The sequence below is a fragment of the Homo sapiens genome, chromosome Y (assembly GCF_000001405.40).
Source record: "Homo sapiens chromosome Y, GRCh38.p14 Primary Assembly".
In the NCBI taxonomy this organism is placed as follows: domain Eukaryota; kingdom Metazoa; phylum Chordata; class Mammalia; order Primates; family Hominidae; genus Homo; species Homo sapiens.
Genome location: NC_000024.10, coordinates 1,332,455 through 1,354,335, shown reverse-complemented (window position 1 = coordinate 1,354,335; position 21,881 = coordinate 1,332,455). Strand labels below are relative to the sequence as shown.

At 50.5% G+C, this 21,881-nt stretch overlaps 1 protein-coding gene and 1 long non-coding RNA gene across 25 annotated transcripts in view; one reads left to right on the top strand and one right to left on the bottom strand.

The window, feature by feature from the left end:
* The window catches only part of LOC101928032 (uncharacterized), a 41,505-nt gene extending 24,141 nt beyond the window's left edge, over window positions 1-17,364 (top strand). For 12 of the 18 annotated variants that reach the window (XR_001756028.2, XR_007068474.1, XR_001756017.2 and 9 more), the window contains 4 exons: window positions 1,618-1,716; window positions 1,865-2,026; window positions 12,523-12,738; window positions 15,547-16,762. This is a non-coding gene — a long non-coding RNA (uncharacterized LOC101928032). Of the gene's footprint in view, window positions 1-1,617; window positions 1,785-1,864; window positions 2,027-3,136; window positions 3,563-3,749; window positions 4,308-12,522; window positions 12,739-15,546; window positions 16,763-16,819 lie in introns of those variants that run through there. The other 6 variants (XR_007068475.1, XR_007068472.1, XR_001756023.2 and 3 more) reach the window with 6 other exon arrangements.
* The window catches only part of IL3RA (interleukin 3 receptor subunit alpha), a 45,905-nt gene extending 28,354 nt beyond the window's left edge, over window positions 1-17,551 (bottom strand). The window contains exons 1-6 of one of the 7 annotated variants that reach the window (NM_002183.4): window positions 17,410-17,551; window positions 12,507-12,608; window positions 8,902-9,020; window positions 5,791-5,905; window positions 2,104-2,236; window positions 1,830-2,014 (exon numbers count right to left, since the gene is read on the bottom strand). In NM_002183.4, coding sequence (NP_002174.1) covers window positions 1,830-2,014; window positions 2,104-2,236; window positions 5,791-5,905; window positions 8,902-9,020; window positions 12,507-12,570 — 616 coding nt within the window. In that variant the 5' untranslated portion in view covers window positions 12,571-12,608; window positions 17,410-17,551. Of the gene's footprint in view, window positions 1-1,829; window positions 2,015-2,103; window positions 2,237-5,790; window positions 5,906-8,901; window positions 9,021-12,506; window positions 12,755-17,409 lie in introns of those variants that run through there. The other 6 variants (XM_005274781.2, XM_005274780.6, XM_017030043.3 and 3 more) reach the window with 6 other exon arrangements.
* Window positions 17,552-21,881: the final 4,330 nt, after the last annotated feature.

The following is a 21,881-nucleotide window of genomic DNA, read 5'->3' as shown; positions in this document are numbered from 1 at the left end:
CTCGGAGCTCGGGTATCGTGGACTGAAAGTGTGTGTCCTTCTGTCCCAAATTCCTCCACTGAAGCTCTAACCCCTGGTTGGGCGGTGTTAGAAGGTGGGGTCTTTGGGAGGTGACTGGCGTGGGCTGAAGTTATGAGGGTGGACCCCCATGATGGGGGCTCCCGTGACCCATGATGGGACCCATGACCCATGATGGGGGCTCCCATGACCCATGATGGGACCCATGACCCATGATGAGGGATTCCATGACTCATGATGGGGGCTCCCATGACCCATGGTGGGACCCATGGCCCATGATGAGACCCATGATGAGGGATTCCATGACTCACAATGGGGGCTCCCATGACCCATGATGGGGGTGGGGGTCCCACGACCCATGATGGGGGGGGGGGTCCCATGACCCATGATGGAACCCATGATGAGGGATCCCATGACTCATGATGGAATCCATGATAGGGGATCCTATGACCCATGATGAAACCCATGATGGGGGTTCCCATGACCCATGATGGAACCCGTGATGGGGGGGGTCCCATGACCCATGATGGAACCCATGATAGGGGATCCTATGACCCATGATGAAACCCATGATGGGGGTTCCCATGACCCATGATGGAACCCATGATTGGGGGGGGTCCCATGACCCGTGATGGAACCCATGATGGGGGGGGTCCCATGACCCGTGATGGAACCCATGATGGGGGGGGTCCCATGACCCATGATGGGACCTATGATGGGGGATCCCATGTGGAACCCATGATGGGACCTATGATGGGGGATCCTATGACCCATGATGGAACCAATGATGAGGGATCCCATGTGGAACCCATGATGGGGGGTCCCATGACTCATGATGGAACCCATGATGGGGAATTCTATGACCCATAATGGGACCCATGATGGAGGTTCCCATGACCCATGATGGAATCCATGATGGGGGTCCTATGACCCATGATGAAACCCATGATGAGGGATCCCATGACTCATGATGGGACCCATGATGGGGGGGTCCCATGACCCATGATGGAATCCATGATAGGGGGTCCCATGACCCATGATGGAATCCATGATAAGGGATCCCATGACTCATGGTGGAACCCATGATGGGGGGGTCCTATTACCCATGATGGAACCCATGATGGGGGGTCCCATGACCCATGATGGAACCCACGATGAGGGATCCCATGACTCATGGTGGAACCCATGATGGGGGGTGTCCCATGACCCATGATGGAACCCATGATAGGGGGTCCTATGACCAATGATGGGACCCATGATGGGGGTTCCCATGACCCATGATGGAATCCATGATAGGGGGTTCTATGACTCATGATGAAACCCATGATGGGGGATCCTATGAACCATGATGGGACCCATGATGGGGGTTCCCATGACCCATGATGGAATCCATGATAGGGGGTTCTATGACTCATGATGAAACCCATCATGGGGGATTCTATGACCCATGATGGGACCCATGATGGAACCCATGATGGGGGGTCCCATGACCCATGGTGAGGGATCCTATGACCCATGATGGGACCCATGATGGTGTTAGTGCCCTTCTAACAAGAGACCCCAGAACTTCATCTCTCTCTCTCTCTACACCACGTGAAGACACAGTGAGAAGATGACCCTCTCTCCAAGCCAGGAAGAGACCTCCCGAGGAGCCCAGCCAGCCAGCACGCTGACCTCCAACGTCCAGCCTCTGGAAATGTGAGAGGCCAACGTCTGCGTTGGGAGCCACGTGGTCCCGTGGGATCTGGCCTGGCGCTAAAGCCGTGGTATCACAGAACTGAGGGTGGGAGGGAGTGTCCCGGGCTACTCACCAATCTGTGAAAAGACGACAAACTTATCTGTGCAGGGGATACCGAAGGCTGCGCTCCTGCCCCGCACCAGGATGTGGGAACTTTGAGAACCGCTGGAGAGTCGAGAGATGTCATCGAAACGACACCCGATACGTGTTCCCTGAGCATCCGTTTTGTAGTGAAGACACTCGTACTGTTGACGCCTGCTGCGGTAAGCGGTAAGGTTGGGGGACGACCCCACGCCGATGGCACCCGCACCAGGGACAGCCCGGCCTCTGCCCACGGGCACACCTACTTGGCAACGTTCAAGTACAGGTCGTACTGGACGTCCGCGGGGGCCCCCGGGCCTACCGCCCAGCTGCAGCTCAAGAAATCCACGTCATGAATCCAGCAGGTCAGATTCTCCGCACCTGCCCAAGGCTTCCCACCTGGGTTCACAAACATGAAAGAGAACTCGAATCGGGACCGGGCGCGGTGGCTCACGCCTGTCACCCCAGCATTTTGGGAGGCCGAGGCGGGTGGATCACATGAGGTCAGGAGTTCGAGACCAGCCTGGCCAACATGGAGAAACCCAATCTCTACTAAAAATGCAAAAATTAGCTGTGTCTGGTGGCACGCGCCTGTGATCCCAGCACTTTGGGAGGCCGAGGCAGGTGGATCACCCGAGGTCCGGAGTTCGAGACCAGCCTGGCTAACATGGTGAAACCCAGTCTCTACTAAAAATATAAAAAATTAGCCAGGTGTGATGTCGGGCCGCTGTAATCCCAGCTACTCGGGAGGCTGAGGCAGGAGAATTTCTTGAACCCAGGAGGCAGAGGTTGCATGGAGCTGAGATCACGCCACTGCACTCCAGCCTGGGCGACAGAGTGAGCCTTCGTCTCAAAAAAATAAAAAAACAAACCCAGGCATGGTGGCTCACGCCTGTAATCCCAGCACTTTGGGAGGCCGAGGCAGGAGGATCACCTGAGGTCCGGAGTTCGAGACCGGCCTGGCTAACATGGTGAAACCCTGCCTCTACTAAAAATACAAAAATTAGCCGGGCGTGATGTCGGGCCGCTGTAATCCCAGCTACTAGGGAGGCTGAGGCAGGAGAATTTCTTGAACCCAGGAGGCAGAGGTTGCAGTGAGCCCAGGCCACGTCACTGCACTCCAGCCTGTGTGACAAGAGCGAGACTCCGTCTCAAAAAAAAAAATAAAACTCTAATTCCTTTTTAGAGTGCCTTTTGTATTTTGAGACCATGGTAGATACACAAGCCGTTGTAAAAAATAATAATAATATGGAGAGATCCTGCATATTCTTTTAATGATTTATTTATTCATTTTTACAGAGTCTCGCTCCGTCGCCTAGGCTGGAGTACAATGGCGCCATCTCGGCTCACTGCAACCTCCACCTCCCGGGTTCAAGCAATTCTCCTGCCTCAGCCTCCCAAGTATCTGGGACAACAGGCACCCACTACCACACCCAGCTAATTTTTGTATTTTTAGTAGAGATGGGGTTTCACCATGTTGCCCAGACTGGTCGCGAATTCCTGACCTCAAGTGATCCACCCGCCTCAGCCTCCCAAACTGCTGGGACTACAGATGTTTTTCTTTCATTGTTTGTGTGTGTGTGCGTGTGTGTGCATCTGTGTGTGTGTTTAAGACAGAGTTTCACTCTTGTTGCCCAGGCTGGAGCTCAATGGCTCACCACAACCTCCGCCTCCCAGGTTCAAGTGATTCTCCTGCCTCAGCCTCCTGAGTAGCTGGGACTGCAGGCATGTGCCACCACCCCTGGCTAATTTTGTATTTTTAGTAGAGATGGGGTTTCACCATGTTAGCCGGGATGGTCTCGATCTCCTGACCTCGCGATCCACCCACCTCGGCCTCCCAAAGTGCTGGGATTACAGGTGTGAGCCACTGGGCCCGGCCGCTAATTTCTTTTTAATTTTTTTTTTTTTTTAGATGGAATTTCACTCTTGTTGCCCAGGCTGGAGAGCAATGGCACGATCTCAGCTCACCGCAATCTCCGCCTCCCGGGTTCAAGTGATTCTCCTGCCTCAGCCTCCTGAGTAGCTGGGACTACAGGCATGTGCCACCACCCCTGGCTAATTTTGTATTTTTAGTAGAGATGGGGTTTCACCATGTTAGCCAGGCTGGTCTCGAATTCCTGACCTCAGGTGATCCGCCTGCCTCGGCCTCCCAAAGTGCTGGGATTACAGGCGTGAGCCACCATGCCCGGCTAATTTTTGTGTTTTTAGTAGAGACGGGGTTTCACCATGTTGGCCAGGCTGGTCTCGAACTCCTGACCTCAGGTGATCCGCCCGCCTCGGCCTCCCAAAGTGCTGGGATTACAGGCGTGAGCCACTGCGCCCGGCCTCCCCAAGGAGCACTTTTACAGCCAAACCCACCTCTCTCAGCTCTCACTCCTGCTTATATCCCTGCAACCCAGGAGACTGTTTTCTATTTGTAAAATTTTGCCATTTCAAGACAGTTGTATTAATGAAATCACTGTGTGTGTCACGCTCTGGAGTGGTCTTTTTTTTCCGACTCGGCATAACTCCCTGGAAATCCATTAAACTTAAAAATAATTAAATTGAGGCCCGGCACAGTGGCTCCCGCCTGTCATCCCAGCACTTTGGGAGGCTGAGGCGGGTGGATCACAAGGTCAGGAGTTCGAGACCAACATGGTGAAGCCCCGTCTCTACTTAAAATACAAAATTTAGCCGGGCTTGGTGGCGGGTGCCTGTAATCCCAGCTACTTGTGAGGCTGAGGCAGGAGAATCGCTTGAACCCGGGAGGCGGAGTTTGCGGTAAGCTGAAATCGCACCACTGCACTCCAGCCTGGGCGACAAGAACAAGACTCCATCACAGAAAAACAAACAAAACAAAACAAAAAAATAAACCATGGACTTCTAATTAATTAAAAAACAAAGAAGAGGCCAGGCGTGGTGGCTGATGCTTACAATCCCTGCACTTTGGGAGACTGAGGCGGGAGGATCACTTGAGCCTAGGAGTTTGAGACCAGCTCAGGTAACATAGCGACACCCCATCTCTACAAAAAGTATTTAAGGCTGGGCGCGGTGGCTCACCCCTGTACTCCCAGCACTTTGGGAGGCCGAGGCGGGCAGATCACGAAGTCAGGAGTTTGAGACCAGCCTGACCAACATGGTGAAACCCCATCTCTACTAAAAATACAAGAATTAGCTGGGCGTGGCGGTGGGCGCCTATAATCCCAGCTACTCGGGAGGCTGAGGCAGGAGAATCGCTTGAACCCGGGAGCCAGAGGTTGCAGTGAGCCGAGATCGCGCCAGTGCACTCCAGCCTGGTGGACAGAGTGAGACTCTGTCTAAAAAAAAAAAAAGGTGTTTAAAAAATTAGGTGGGCATGGTGGTACATGGGTGTAGTTCCACCTACGTGGGAGGCTGAGGCAGAAGGATTGTTTGAGCTCAGGAGGTGAAGCCTGCAGTAAGCTGTGATTGCACCACTGCGCTCCAGCCTGGGCAACAGAGCAAGACCGTGTCAGGAAAGGAGAGGGGAGAGGAGGGGAAGGGAGGGGAGGGGGAAAGAGAGAAAGAGAGAGAGAGAGAAAGGGAAGGAGGGAAGAAGGAAGGAAAAGAGGAGGGAGAGAAGGAAGGAAGGGAGTGAGGCAGGGAGGAAAAGAAAACGAAAGGGAAGGAAGGAGAGAGAGGAAGTAGGGTGGGAAGGAGGAGGGAGGAAAAGGAGAGAAGGAGGGAGGGAAGGAAGTGAAGAAAAGAAAGAAGGGAGGGAGGGAAAGAGAAAGAAAAGAAAGAGAGGAAAGAAGGAAAGAAAGAAAGAAAAAGAAAGGAAGAAAGAAACAGAAACAGAAAGAAAGAAAAAGAAAGAAAGAAAGAAAGAAAGAAAGAAAGAAAGAAAGAAAGAAAGAGAAAAAGAAAAGAAAAAAGACACAGCGAAGGCGAGAGGGAGGGAGAGAGGGAAGGAGGGAGGGAATAGAGAATAAACAAACAATGAACATTTTTCTCACTGTTCTCAGGGAAGAGGATCCACGTGGAGAATGGTGGGTTGGCCACTCGGACGGTGTAGTTGGTCACTTCACATAAGGAAATTGCTCCAAACTGGCAATAGCTATTGTTCACTGCCTAAGAGAGACATAGGACTATGATGGCTGCTGACAGACCATGCTTAATTTGACGCTAATGATGTTCAGATTTTTTTTGAGGCAGAGTTTCGCTCTCGTCGCCCACGCTGGAGTGCAGTGGCGTGATCTCGGCTCACTGCAGCCTCTCCCTCCCGGGTTCAAGCCATTCTCCTGCTTCAACCTCCCGAGCACCTGGGATTACAGGTGCCCGCCACCACGCCCAGCTAATTTTTAAAGTATTTTTCTGGGTAGAGACAGGGTTTCACCATGTTGGTCAGGCTGGTCTCGAACTCCTGACCTCATGTGATCCGCCTGCCTCAGCCTCCCAAAGTGCTGGGATTACAGGCGTGAGCCACCGTGCCCGGCCAAGACTTTTTTCTGTTTTTTTTTTTTTTGAGAGGGAGTCTCGCTCTGTCGCCCAGGCTGGAGTGCAGGGGCGCGATCTCGGCTCACTGTAGCCTCTCCCTCCCGGGTTCATGCCATTCTCCTGCCTCATCCTCCCAAGTAGCTGGGACTACAGGCGCCCGCCACCACGCCCGGCTAATTTTTATATTTTTAGTAGAGACGGGGTTTCACCGTGTTAGCCAGGAGGGTCTCGATCTCCTGACCTCGTGATCCACCCTCCTCGGCCTCCCAAAGTGCTGGGATGACAGGCGTGAGCCACCGCGCCCGGCCACAATTTTTTTCTAAAGATACAAAAGCTTGAATAAAAATAATCCCACTTAGCAGTAAATATTAGTGAAATACTTTTCTGTTTGTTTTGCTTTGTTTTTTTCTTGTTTGTTTGTTTTTTGTTTCTTTGTTTTTTTGTTAAGACAGGGCCTCACTCCGCTTGCCCAGGCTAGACTTCAGTGGTGCGATCTCAGCTCACTGCAACCTCCACCTCTCGGGTTCAAGCAATTCTCCTGCCTCACCACCGCACCCGGCCACATTTCATTAATCTACTTGTATATTCTTCGTTTTGTTTGCTTTTGTTTTTGTTTTTTTGAGACAGAGTCTCGCTCTGTCGCCCAGGCTGGAGTGCAGTGGCGCGATCTCGGCTCACTGCAAGCTTCTGCCTCCCAGGTTCAAGCCATTCTCCTGCCTCAGCCTCCCGAGTAGCTGGGACTACAGGCACCAGCCACCACGCCCGGCTAATTTTTATATTTTTAGTAGAGACGGGGTTTCACCGTGTTAGCCAGGAGGGTCTCGATCTCCTGACCTCGTGATCCACCCGCCTCGGCCTCCAAAGTGCTGGGATGACAGGCGTGAGCCACCACGCCCGGCCTACTTGTGTATTCTTATAGCAATCCGCACATTGGGTATGAACTTTTCAGTGCCTTTTGATATAGGTAAGGCAGGTTCTCCTTCATTCACCTTCTTTTTCAAAATTTCCTTAGTTTTTTTTTCAGCATTTGTGTTTCTAAAGTTGAGAGTCAGTTTGCCATGGTATGGTAAAATCGCTCTGGGATTCTAGACTGTTTTATCTCTACTCTCCAAAATCACAAAGTTCAATGGGACTGTATTTGGAGCTGGGGGTAGGATTTTATAATGGTGGCCCGAGCAGACGCATGAAGGGCCGTGATTTGAATTGTATTGAACGAACATAGCTCTTGGAGGGGACCAAATAGGTTCTCAGGGAAACGTGCTCCTTTCCCATAAGACACTGACTTGTAAATAGCTCACAGTGTCACCTGGGCCACCCCATGAGGTCTGGCGCTGTTCTCAAACCCTGAGAACGCAGGTGATGACAAGATGGGGGATTTGGAAGGATTTCGTGATGAGGACCTTGTTTCCTGAGCACACACTTTTGTTTTGTTTTTGCTTTTGTTTTTGTTTTTGTTTTGAGATGGAGTCTCACTCTGTCACCCAGGCTGGAGTGCAGTGGCACAATCTCGGCTCAGTGCAACCTCGGCCTCCCAGGTTCAAGCAATTCTCCTGCCTCAGCCTCCTGAATAGCTGGTATTACAGGCATGTGCCACCACATCCGGCTAATTTTTCTTTTTCTTTTTTGACATGAAGTCTTGCTCTCGTCCCCCAGGCTGGAGTGCAGTGGCACAGTCTCGGCTCAATGCAACCTCTGCCTCCCGGGTTCAAGCGATTCTCCTGCCTCAGCCTCCCAAGTAACTGGGATTACAGGCGCCCACCACCATGCCCAGCTAATTTTTATATTTTTAGTGGAGGCGGGGTTTCACCATGTTGCCCAGACTAGTCTCGAACTCCTGGCCCCAGGTGATCCATCCGCCTCAGCCTCTCAAAGTGCTGGTGTGAGCCACTGTGCCCGGCTAACTTTCGTATTTTTAGCAGAGACAGCGTTTCACCGTGTTGGCCAGACTGGTCTCGAACTCCTGACCTCATGATCCGCCCGCCTCAGCCTCCCAAAGTGCTGGGATTACAGACGTGAGCCACCACGCCCAGCGTGGGGTTGGGTTTCGCACCAGTCATAGCTTAGCCTCATTTCACTTTCACATCCACCCTGTCCAGTGTGTGCCATCTTAGATGTCCCGCGGACGGGGAACCAGACCCTCCAAAGTCACTTCAAATCCCACACCTGACTTCGGGGCAGAAACCAGGTAGTCATGACACCAGCGATGGGAGCAGTATTGGTTCTGAGATTCCTGCAGAAGACGGAAACGTCTTGTTCGTCAACATTAGAGAGTCTGGGCCATGCGCGGTGACTCGCGCCTGTAATCCCAGCACTTTGGGAGGCCGAGGCGGGCAGATCACGAGGTCAGGAGATCGAGACCCTCCTGGCTAACACAGTGAAACCCCATCTCTACTAAAAATACAAAAAAATTAGCCGGGCATGGTGGCGGGCGCCTGTAGTCCCAGCTACTCGGGAGGTTGAGGCAGGAGAATGGCATGGACCTGGGAGGTGGAGGTTGCAGAGAGCGGAGATCGGGTCACCGCAGTCCAGCCTGGGCGACAGAGCAAGACTCCGTCTCAAAAAATAAATAAATACATAAATACATAAATAAATAAAATAAAAATAAAAAAACAATAGAGAGTATGATTTACCGGCATAGAATAGTCGGCGTCTTTAACACACTCGATATCGGTCACATTTCTGTTAAGGTCCCAGGTCAACTGCTGAGCCTTTGCTTTCATCCTTAGGTTCGTGATTGGTGGGTTTGGATCTAAAACGGTGACAGGTTGGAGTTCGAAGAGATACGTAAGAATCTTAAAACGGCATTGTAAGGGGTATGGTTTTTTTTTTTTGCCCGTGGAGTTAGCCAATACCTTTGGGAGGTGGAGTTCTTTTATTTAATTTTTTTAAATTTTTTGACATGGAGTTTCACTCTTGTCGCCCTGGCTGGACTACAGTGGCACGATCTCAGCTCACTGCAAGCTCCGCCTCCTGGTTCAAGCAACTCTCCTGCCTCAGCCTCCCGAGTAGCTGGGACTACAGGCGCCCGCCACCACGCCCGGCTAATTTTTTTTTTTTTGTATTTTTAGTAGAGATGGCGTTTCACCGTGTTAGCCAGGATGGTCTCGATCTCCTGACCTCATGATTCGTCCGCCTCAGCCTCCCAAAGTGCTGGGATTACAGGCATGAGCCACCGCACCAGGTCAACAATCTTAAAACAGCATTGTAATGGGTATGGTTTTTTTGCCCGTGGAGTTAGCCAATACCTTTGGGAGGTCGAGTTCTTTATTTTTTTAAATTTTTTATTTTTTTGAGACGGAGTTTTGCTCTTGTCACCCAGGCTGGAGTGCAGTGGCACGATCTCAGCTCACCGCAACCTCTACCTCCCGGGTTCAAGCGATTCTCCTGCCTCAGCCTCCCGAGTAGCTAGGATTACAGGAGCCCACCACCACGCCCGGCTAATTTTTGTATTTTTACTAGAGATGGGGTTTCACCATGTTGGCCAGGATGGTCTCGATCTCCTGACCTCGTGATCTGTCCGCCTCGGCCTCTCAAAGTGCTGGGATTACAAGCATGAGCCACCATGCCCAGTTGATATACAACAATCTTAAAACAACATTGTAATGGGTATTTTTGTTTGCTTGTTTGTTTTGAGACGGAGTCTCACTCTGTCGCCCAGGCTGGAATTCAGTGGCGCGATCTCGGCTCACTACAACCTCCGCCTCCCGGGTTCAAGCGATTATCCTGTGTCAGCCTGCTGTGCAGCTGGGATAACAGGTGCCTGCCACCACACTCGGCTAATTTTTGTATTTTTACTAGAGATGGGGTTTCACCATGTTGGCCAGGCTGGTCTCGAACTCCCAACCTCACATGATCTGCCTGCCTCAGCCTCCCAAAGTGCTGGGATCACAGACGTGAGTTACTGAGCCTGGCTGGGAAGTGGAGTTCTATGTACACAGGAGACTTCTGTGAGCTGGTAGAAGTCATAAAGCAAACGGGCGTGGTGGCTCACGCCCGTCATCCCAGCACTTTGGGAGGCCAAGGTGGGCGGATCACCAGGTCAAGTGATCAAGACCATCCTGGCTAACACGGTGAAACCCCGTCGCGACTAAAAATACAAAAATTAGTTGGGCGTGGTGGCGGGCGCCTGTAATCCCAGCTAATCAGGAAGCTGAGGCAGGAGAATCACTGGAACTCGGGAGGCGGAGGTTGCGGTGAGCTGAGATCGTGCCACTGCACTCCAGCCTGGGTAACAGAGCGAGACTCCATCTCAAAAAAACAAAAAAACTCCGTCTCAAAAAAAAAAAAAAGAAAGAAAGAAAAAGAAGGTCTCTCTTAGCCATCACAGAGCTCAAGATATTTCATAAATGACCTGTACAAAGATGTTAAAGGCAATATTCTTTTTTTTTTTTTTTTTTTGAGATGGAGCCTCGCTCTGTCACCCAGGTTGGAGTGCAATGGCGTGATCTTGGCTCACGGCAACCTCCGCCTCCCGGGTTCAAGTGATTCTCCTGCCTCAGCCTCCTGAGTAGCAGGGATTACAGGTGCACAGCACCGCGCCCAGCTAATTTTTTTGTATTTTTAGTACAGACGGGGTTTCACCATGATGGCCAAGCTGGTTTTGAACTCCTGACCTCAAGTGATCCACCCGCCTCAGCCTCCCAAAGTGCTGGGATTACAGACGTGAGCCGTTGCACCCGGCCAGTAAAAGGCAATATTCTATCACATTTTGCTGGTCACCCAAAGCTAGAAACATACATCAACTATTTCTCTAGGGTTTATCTCTGATCGGCCACTTAGAAAACTTGAGGAAATGACTTTATAAACTGTAAGGATCTTGAGTGGTTATCAAGGTCAGCAACCTTGGTTTGATAAGCGGGACCAAAGCATAAGAATGTCTAGACTTCTGGCATTATTTTCTTCTAACTTAGAAGGATAATTTATCCCTTAAAACAAACTGTCTGGGGAAAAAAATTCTTATAAGAAATTCATTCATTCATTCATTCATTTTGAGACGGAGTCTCACTCTGTCGCCCAGGCTGGAGTGCAATGGCGTGATCTAGGCTCACTGCAACCTCCTCCTCCCGGGTTCAAGCGACTCTCCTGCCTCAGCCTCCCGAGTAACTGGGATTACAGGCGCCCGCCACCACGCCCAGCTGATTTTTGTATTTTTAGTAGAGACGGGGTTTCACCGTGTTAGTCAGGCTGGTCACGAACTCCTGACCTTGTGATCGTCCACCTGCCTTGGCCTCCCAAAGTGTGTAATCCCAACCCCGAGGCAGGCGGATCATGAGGTCAGGAGATCGAGACCATCCTGTCTAACACGGTGAAACCCCGTCTCTAGTAAAAACAGAAAAATTAGCTGGGCGTGGTGGCGGACACCTGTAATCCCAGGTGCTTGGGAGGCTGAGACAGGAGAATCAATTGAACCCAGCAGGTAGAGGTTGCAGTGAGCCATGGTCACGCTATTACACTCCAGCCTGGGCGACCAGAATGAAACTCTGTGTCAAAAAAAAAAAAAAAAAAGAAGTTAAAGAATGAAAAGCAAATTAAAGTTAAAAGAAATTCAAGGTAAAGTGAAACCCTGCAGTAATAGACTGTAAAAACCAATGAAAAAAAAGGCCGGGCGCTGTGGCTCACACCTGTAATCCCAGCACTTTGGGAGGCCAAGGCAGACGGATCACTTGTGGTCAGCAGTTCTAGACCAGCCTGACCGACATAGTGAAATCCCGTCTCTATCAAAAATACAGAAATTAGCCGGGTATGGTGGTGCGCGACTGTAATCTCAGCTCCTCGGGAGGCTGAGGCAGAAGAATCGCTTGAATCCGGGAGGCAGAGGTTGCAGTGAGCCGAGATCACACTATTGCACTCCAGCCTGGGCAAGACAGTAAGACCCTGTCTCCAAAATAAAAATAATAAGAAAATGAAAAAGTAAGATAAACAATGAAGGAAACTGGAAATTGTTATTGGTGCTGTTGATCCCAGCGTGTGAGTTTCATCAAAACACCTCACATGGCATCTGTGTCACGATCAGGTCCCTGCCTGTGAGGTCGTATTACCGTTTTGCAAGATGCTGCATTACAGGGAACTTGGTGACGGGTACAGGGAAGTGTCTGAGTCATTCCCGACCACTGCATGAGACTCTGCCATGAGCTCAGCATGAAAAGTTTCCCTGAAGGACGGCACGCTGACATTGTGTGTCTGTCTACCCCCACCGCTCCCCAGGTGGCACGTGCATTTTTTCTCCAGTTCTTACCTTCCTTCGTTTGCAGGAGACAGGGCAGGGCGATCAGGAGCAGCGTGAGCCAAAGGAGGACCATCGGGAACGCAGCTCCGGAACGCAGGACAGAGGTGCCTGCTGCAGGAGAAACGAGAGTCAGGCAGCGGGGACTGGCTGTGAAACTGGGTTGCGGGTAATGAAGGATGCTTGCCCCTTCCAGAGCCTGGTGCTCACAGCAGAAGGAGCTGCTTCTGGAGGGAAAGCGGTGGTGAGTGTGCATATGTGTCTGTGTGCAAATGCGCCTTTGCACATGCATGCACATCAGAGTGTGCTTCTACATGTGTGCACGAATATTCGTGTGTGTGTACATGGGTCTATATGTGTGCATGCCTCTATGTAGCCATGTCTGTTTGCACATTTGCAGGACTGCATGCATGCCTGTGCACACACGGGTACTGTGTACATGTGTCTGTGTGTGTGTGTGCTTGCACGTGTGTACATTTTTGTGCCCGTGTGTATCTGTGTGCACACATAAGTGTTTGTGTGTTTTCTTTTTTTTTTTTTCCTGATGGAGACTCGCCCTTGTCGTCCAGGCTGGAGTGCAGTGGCATGATCTCGGCTCATTGCAACCTCTGCCTCCCAGGTTCAAGCGACTCTCCTGCCTCAGCCTCCTGAGTAGCTGGGATTACAGGCACTCGCCACCATGCCTGGCTAATTTTTGTATTATTTATTTATTTATTTATTTTTTGTGACAGAGTTTTGCTCTTGTTGCCCAGGCTGGAGTGCAATGGCGTGATCTGGGCTCACTGCAACCTCCGCCTCCCAGGTTCAACCGATTGTCCTGCCTCAGCCTCCCGAGTAGCTGGGATTATAGGCACCCACCACCATGTCCGGCTAATTTTTGTATTTTTAGCAGAGACGGGGTTTCACCGTGTTGGCCAGGCTGGTCTCGAACTCCTGACCTCAGGTGATCCACCCACCTCAGCCTCCCAAAGTGCTGGGATGACAGGCGTCAGCCACCGCGTCCAGCCCACTTTTTGTATTTTTTAGTAGAGATTTGACCATGTTGGCCAGGCTGGTCTCGGACTCCTGCCTCAGGTGATCCGCCCGCCTTTTCCTCGCCAAGTGCTGAGATTACAGGTGTGAGCCACCGTGCCCGGCTGTGTTTGTGTGTTTTCATGCATGCAGGTACACACAGTCTTTGTGTTTGAATGCATATGTATCTGTGCATGCATTCCACGTGTACACACATGTGCATAAATATATGTGCATACACAAATATACATGCATGAGTCTGTATGTGTGCATGCATGTGCCTAGAAGTGCATATTTATGTGCATGCATGTGTGAATGTATGTGTACAAATGTGTTTGCATCAGTGTGTATGTGTGCATGTATGTGCATGCATCTGTGTGTGTGTCAGCCGTTCCCTTTTGAAAGAAGCCCTGCCGGCTGGGTGCAGTGGCTCATGCCAGTAATCCCAGCACTTTGGGAAGCAGAGGTGGGCAGATTGCCCGAGGTCAGGAGTTCAAGACCAGCCTGGCTAACATGGTGAAACCCCGTCTCTACTAAAAATACAAAAATTAGCCAGGCGTGGTGGAGTGTGCCTATAATCCCAGCTACTCGGGAGGCTGAGGCAGGACAATCAGTTGAACCCGGGAGGTGGAGCTTGCAGTGAGCCGAGATGGCGCCACTGCACTCCAGCCTGGACGACAGAGCGAGACTCCGTCTCAAAAAAAAAAAAAAAAAAGAAAAGAAAAGAAAGAGTTGCTGCCCTGGGGGTTTAGCCCGTTCTTGGCTCGAGCTGTATCCACAAACCAGGAAAACACATCCTCTGCGGCACACCAGGAAGCTCAGATGACAAAGCAGTGGAAGGAAGTATAATTACAATGATGAAATCAACACACGGAAATTCCTAAGTGGCTGCAGTTACCGTAACAAGGGGGTACAGGACCTCAGCCTCCTGCACTGGAACTTTCTGCCGCATCCCAGAAAGGCTGGCTCTCCTACACTGTGCTCTGGGGTGGCAGCTGTCTTTTCTGGTTTTTTGTTTTGTTTTGTTTTGTTTTTTCTGAGATGGAGTCTCACTCTTGTTGTCCAGGCCGGAGTGCAGTGGCGCGATCTTGGTTCACTGCAACCTCCACCTCCCACGTTCAAGCGATTCTCCTGCCTCAGCCTCCCCAGTAGATGGGATTACCGGTGTCCGCCACCACACCCAGCTAATTTTTCTATTTTTAGTAGAGATGGTGTTTCACCATGTTGGTCAGGCTGGTCTCGAACTCCTGACCTCATGATCCACCCGCCTTGGCCTCCCAAAGTGCTGGGATGACAGGCGTGAGCCACCGCGCCCGGCCTAACATCTTTTAAAGAACCAAATGGCGTTAGCGTCAGTGGACCTTGCTTGTCTCCAAATTATAAATGGAAGGGGTGAGCCTGGAAAAAGCTGAGCCCCTTGAGGCTGGGGACGGGACTGAGGGCAGCAGGGAAAAGGTAAAATGAGGTTCCAGAGGCCTCGGAGCCCCTTCCTGCCTGGGCAGAGGGACCGCAGCCCACCTCCAAGGCAACAGGCAATCTCTAGAGTCTCCTTTCGGACAGAGCCTGTGTTCAGCTCATGGGCTCACCACACACAGTCACACTTGCCTGTAGGGGCTGTGGTCCAGGAAGATGCCTGAGTCAGAACGTTGGGAAATCTGTGCTCTTAACATTTATTGATTAATATTTTCATTGGCCAGGCGCGGTGGCTCACGCCTATAATCCCAGCACTTTGGGAGGCTGAGGGGGGTGGATTGCTTGAGGTCAGGAGTTCGAGACCAGCCTGACCAACATACAAAACATACTAAACATACAAAATCTCTACTACTCTACTAAACATACAAAGTCTCTACTAAACATACAAAAATTAGCCAGGCGTAGTTGCGGGTGCCTGTAGTCCCAGCTACTCAGGAGGCTGAGGCAGGAGAATTGCTTGAACCCGGGAGGTGGAGGTTGCAGTGAGCTGAGATCGCGCCACTGCACTCCAGCCTGGGCGACAGAGCGAGACTCTGTCTCAAAAAAAACCACCACTTCTATCTTCTAGAACATTGTCACGACCCCAAAAGGAGACTCCAGACCCATTAAAGACCCGTCCTTCCTCTTCCCCAGCCTGTGGCAACCACTCATCCACTTTCTGTCTCTGTGGATTTGCCTGTATCTGGACATAGGGAATAAATGGAATCATACAGACACTATGTATCTTTTTGTATCTGGCCTCTCTCAGGAAGCATGATGTCCTCAGCATTCACCCACATTGCCACCTGTGGCAGAGCCTCGTTCCTTTTCATGGCTGTGTAATATTCCACCGTGTGGCTGGACCACATTATATTTCTCCATTCATCTATAGATGGGTATGAGGACTCTCTCCACCTCTTGGCTAGTGTGAATAAAGCTGCTTATTCCTTTTCATGGCTGTGTAATATTCCACCGTGTGGCTGGACCACATTATATTTCTCCATTCATCTATAGATGGGGTATGAGGGCTGTCTCCACCTCTTGGCTATTGTGAATAAAGCTGCTTGTTCCTTTTCATGGCTGTGTAATATTCCACTGTGTGGATGGACATTATATTTTTCCATTCATCTATAGATGGGTATGAGGGCTGTCTCCACCTCTTGGCTATTGTGAATAAAGCTGCTTGTTCCTTTTCATGGCTGTGTAATATTCCACTGTGTGGATGGACATTATATTTCTCCCTTCATCTATAGATGGGGGTATGAGGGCTGTCTCCACCTCTTGGCTATTGTGAATAAAGCTGCTTGTTCCTTTTCATGGCTGTATAATATTCCACTGTGTGTCTGGACCACATTATATTTCTCCATTCATCTATAGATGGGTACGAGGGCTGTCTCCACCTCTTGGCTATTGTGAATAAAGCTGCTTGTTCCTTTTCATGGCTGTATAATATTCCACTGTGTGGCTGGACCACATTATATTTCTCCATTCATCTATAGATGGGTATGAGGGCTGTCTCCACCTCTTGGCTATTGTGAATAAAGCTGCTTGTTCCTTTTCATGGCTGTGTAATATTCCACTGTGTGGCTGGACCACATTATATTTATCCATTCGTCTATAGATGGGTATGAGGGCTGTCTCCACCTCTTGGCTATTGTGAATAAAGCTGCTTGTTCCTTTTCATGGCTGTGTAATATTCCACCGTGTGGCTGGACCACATTATATTTATCCATTCGTCTATAGATGGGTATGAGGGCTGTCTCCACCTCTTGGCTATTGTGAATAAAGCTGCTTGTTCCTTTTCATGGCTGCGTAATATTCCACTGTGTGGATGGACATTATATTTTTCCATTCATCTATAGATGGGTACGAGGGCTGTCTCCACCTCTTGGCTACTGTGAATAAAGCTGCTAGGAGGGACCTGAGGTTTCACCAGCCATCTGGAACATTCTGAGTCCCGCCAGCCTTTGAAAACCACTGAGAAACACTACAAGCAGGCTGGGGTCCCAGCCCCAAAAGCGGCTCCCCGGCTGGCAGTCAGCTCGCCCTGGGCGTGAGCTCATTGACTAACTGAACCAGCGCTTTCTAATAAACAGAGAACTCTAGCCATGTGTAGGTGTGTACATTTTCTAGCAAGCACACAGAAAAAGCAGAAAGCACTGTCAAATTACTCCTAATGCTATCACCTTTATAAACCCAAGGCATCTAACATGCTATGATGGCTTCAGCGTCCGATCCACTTACAAAAGGGTGAATGAGATCGCAAACATACTTCTCTGGTACCGGGTCATTCTATGTGTGGTGTGGTGCCCACACGGACAGCAGGTCTCAGCAGAAACCTGTTACATGCCAATGCCCCGTGTCTGCCAGCTTGGATTTGGGAACCCACAGTCCACCGCCTCCCCTGCCTGCCCTCTTTTTCCCTCATCCCACCCTGGAGGGGGGACCTTACCTTAAATGGAGATCAAAGTACTGTGTGGAAGAAACAGCCTTCGTGGTTCCAGTTGAGAAGATCTGGGGTGTCCTGATCCTAGGATGTTTCTGATATCTTCCCGTGTGCGCTGAAAGCAGCTTTCCCCGAAGAGAAACCGAAGGTTGTACTCCCCGATTGAGCTGTTTTATAACCTCCAGCTGGGGCCCCACCCCTGAAACTCAGACCCAATAAGGATCTGGCAGTGGGGAGGGGTGGGGGCTGTCAGAGACCCCCTTCTCTCCCACGGGCTGGGATCCTGGGGTCAGCAGCTTCGTAACCATGAACCTGACTTTCCTTGAAAGAAAGACTCTTTCTTTGAAAATTATCATGTTCCCGTTCTCATTTTTTTTTTTTTCTGCAAGTGTTTCTGTTTGCTATAATTAGAATTCTTGCTGGCTATACAGGCAGGGTTGGGCAACTTCCTGACATAGTAAATTCAGCCTTGGAGGCGTGAACGCTGGTGTCCAGGGGCTCCTGCCTGTGTTTCCTCCCTGTCTCGTGGGAAACAGCACCCAGACAGGGAGGTGGCCCCCGGTCTCAGATGACAGATCTTATTAAAGATATGTTAGTGGCCGGGTGCGGTGGCTCACGCCTGTCATCCCAGCACTTTGGGAGGCCGAGGCGGGCAGATCACTTGAGGTCAAGAGATTGAGACCAGCCTGGCCAACATGGTGAAACCCCGTCTCTATTAAAAATACAAAAATTAGCCCAGCGTGGTGGTGAGCACCTGTAATCCCAGCTACTCGGGAGGCTGAGACAGGAGAATCGCTTGAACCTGGGAGGCGGAGGAGGTTACAGTGAACCGAGATCGCGCCACTGCACTCCAGCCTGGGCGACAGAGCAAGACTCGGTCTCAAAAAAAAAAAAAAGATATCTTAGTGGTCAGGGGTGGTGGCTCACACCTGTCATCCCAGCACTTTGGGAGGCCGATGAGGGCGGATCACCTGAGGTCAGGAGTTTGAGACCATCTGGCCAACATGGTGGAAGCCCGTCTCTAGTAAAAATTTAAAAATTAGCCAGGCGTGGTGGCAGGTGCCTGTAATCCCAGCTTCTCTGGAGGCTGAGGCAGGAGAATAGTTTGAACCTGGGAGAGAGGTTACAGTGAGCCAGGATGGCGCCAGTGCCCTCCAGCCTGGGTGATAGAGCAAGACTCCGTCTCAAAAAAAAAAAAAAAAAGATATCTTAGTGGTCAGGTGCGGTGGTTCACACCTGTCATCCCAGCACTTTGGGAGGCCGAGGAGGGTGGATCACCCTGAGGTCAGGAGTTCGAGACCATTCTGACCAACATGGTGAAACCCCGTCTCTAGTAAAAAGAAAAAAGTTAGCCAGGCGTGGTGGTGGGTGCCTATAATCCCAGCTTCTCCGGAGGCTGAGGCAGGAGAATCATTTGAACCTGGGAGGCGGAGGTTACAGTGAGCCAGGATGGCGCCACTGCACTCCAGCCTGGGAAATAGAACGAGACTCCGTCTCAAAAAAAAAAAAAAAAATCTTAGTGGTCAGGCGCGGTGGCTCGCACCTGTCATCCCAGCACTTTGGGAGGCTGAGGCGGGTAGATCACCTGAGGGCAGGAGTTCAAGATCAGCCTGGACAACATGGTGAAACCCCGTCTCTAGTAAAAATTTAAAAATTAGCCAGGCGTGGTGGCAGGTGCCTGTAATCCCAGCTTCTCCCAAGGCTGAGGCAGGAGAATCACTTAAACCCGGCAGGCGGAGGTCACAGTGAGCCGAGATCACACCACTGCACTCCAGCCTGGTGACAAGAGCAAACTCTGTCTCAACAGAAAACAAACAAACAAAAACCCTTAGTAAAGTCCAGCCCTGAATGGGGCACTCACCAACCTGTCCCGGGCTTCTCTTTCCAACGCTGAAATCTGTTATTTCTGTTTACTCAGCACGCGCACTCCCAGACAGCCCTTCCCTTCCCTCTGAATGTATCAACTCTTCTCTGGTTCTCGGCACCCTTCCCAAATTCCACCCCAACCTCAGCCCTTCCCCAGAGCCTCCACCTTGCAGCCCGGCTCCTGTTTTTTTTTTTTTTTTTCTTTGAGACGGAGTCTCGCTTTGCTTGCTCTGTCATCCAGGCTGGAGTGCAATGGTGCGATCTCGGCTCCCTGCAACCTCTGCCCCAGGTTCAAGCGATTCTCCTGCCTCGGCCTCCCAAGTAGCTGGGATTACGGGCACCTGCCACCACGCCCGGCTAATTTTTAAATTTTTACTAGAGACGGGGTTTCACCATGTTGGCCAGATGGTCTCGAACTCCTGACCTCAGGTGATCCACCCTCGTTGGCCTCCCAAAGTGGTGGGATGACAGGCGTGAGCCACCGCACCTGACCACTAAGATATCTTTTTTTTTTTTTTTTTTTTTTTTTTCTGAGATGGAGTCTTGCTCTATCACCCAGGCTGGAGTGCAGTGGCGCGATCTCAGCTCTCCGCAACCTGAGCCTCCCAGGTTCAAGCGATTCTCCTGCCTCAGCCTCCCGAGTAGCTGGGATGACAGGTGCCCGTCACCACACCCAGAAAAGGAAGTTTGAAATGATGGGGTTGTAAATGTGATGTCAACTCATGGCTAACCGCTTCCTTATTTTTTTTTAACTGGATATATTTAACGTACAAACAAGATGTTTTGATACAGAATTAACTCTTAGGCAATGTGCAGGTTACAGACACTGCCACCTCGTGCACTCAAAAATCCAAATACAGGGCGGGGCCCAGTGGCTCACGCCTGTAATCCCAGCTCTGTGGGAGGCCAAGGTGGGTGCATCACCTGAGGTCAGGGGTTCAAGACCAGCCTGACCAACATGGCGAAACTCCATTTCTACTAAAAATACAAAAATGACCCAGGCACGGTGGTACATGCCTGTCATCCCAGCTACTCAGGAGGCTGAGGCAGCAGAATCGCTTGAACCCAGGAGGTGGAGGTTGCAGTGAGCTGAAATCACGCCACTGCACTCCAGCCTGGGCAACAGAGTGAGACTCCATCTGAAAAAAAAAAAAAAATCCAAGTGTGACTTTTAACTCCCCCAAACCGTAACAACTAACAGCCTAGTGTTAACCAGAAGCCTTACTGATAACATAAACAGTTGATTCATACATATTTGTTATGCTCTGTGTATGCTATACTGCATTCTTGCAATTAACTAGGCTACAGAAAAGAATGGTATTAAGAAAACCATGGCGGCAGGCCGGGCGCGGTGCCTCACACCTGTCATCCCAGCACTTTGGGAGGCCGAGGCGGGCAGATCACAATGTCAGGAGTTCAAGACCAGCCTGACCAACATGCTGAAACCCTGCCTCTACTAAAAATTCAAAAATTAGCTGGTTGTGGTGGCACATGCCTGTAATCCCAGCTACTCGGGAGGCTGAGGCAGGAGAATCGCTTGAACCCGGGAGGCGGAGGTTGCAGTGAGCCGAGGTCGCGCCACTGCACTCCAACCTGGGCAACAGAGCAAGAATCCGTCTCAAAAAAAAAAAAAATACAAAAAGTAGCTGGGCATGGTGGCAGGCACCTGTAATACCAGCTACTGAGGAGAATAAGGCAGGAGAACTTCTTGAACCTGGGAGGTGGAGGTTGCAGTGAGCTGAGATTGTGCCACTGCATTCCAGCCTGGGCGACAGAACAAGACTCCATCTCAAAAAAAAAAAAAAATTAATACAAACACCCTGGCATGCTTGGGTCAGTTTTTTTTCCTTGGTAACATCTTACAAAATGAGGGTTGCAATGTTGCAACCTGGAGATTGATACAATCTTACTTGGGTGTTCCCAGTATTACTAAGCATTCAGTTCTAAGTAATTTTATCACATGTGTGGCTCAAGCCTGTCATCCCAGCACTTTGGGAGGCCGAGGTGGGCGTATCACGAGGTCAGAAGATCGAGACCATCCTGGCTAACACGGTGAAACCCTGTCTCTACTAAAAATACAAAAAACAAAAAAAATTAGCTGGGTGTGCTTGTGGGCACCTGTAGTCCCAGCTAGTCAGGAGGCTGGGCCAGGAGAATTTGGCTTGAACCAAGGAGGCGGAGGTTACAGTGAGCCAAGATCATGCCACTGCACTCCAGCCTGGTGACAGAGGAAGACTCTGTCTCAAAAAAAAAAAAAAAAGAAAGAAAGAAAATAGCCCTTTAGATGATCAGTCATTCTCCTATAAAGACACACGCACACGTATGTTTTTGCAGCACTGTTCACAATAGCCAAGACTTGGAACCAACCCAAATGTCCATCAATGATAGACTGGATAAAGAAAATGTGGCACATAGACACCATGGAATACTATGCAGCCATCAAAATGGATAAGATCATGTCCTTTGCAGGGACATGGATGAAGCTGGAAACCATCATTCTCAGCAAACTCACACAGGAACAGAAAAACCAAACACCGCATGTTCTCACTCATAAGTGGGAGTTGAACAATGAGAACACATGGACACAGGGAGGGGAACATCACACACCAGGG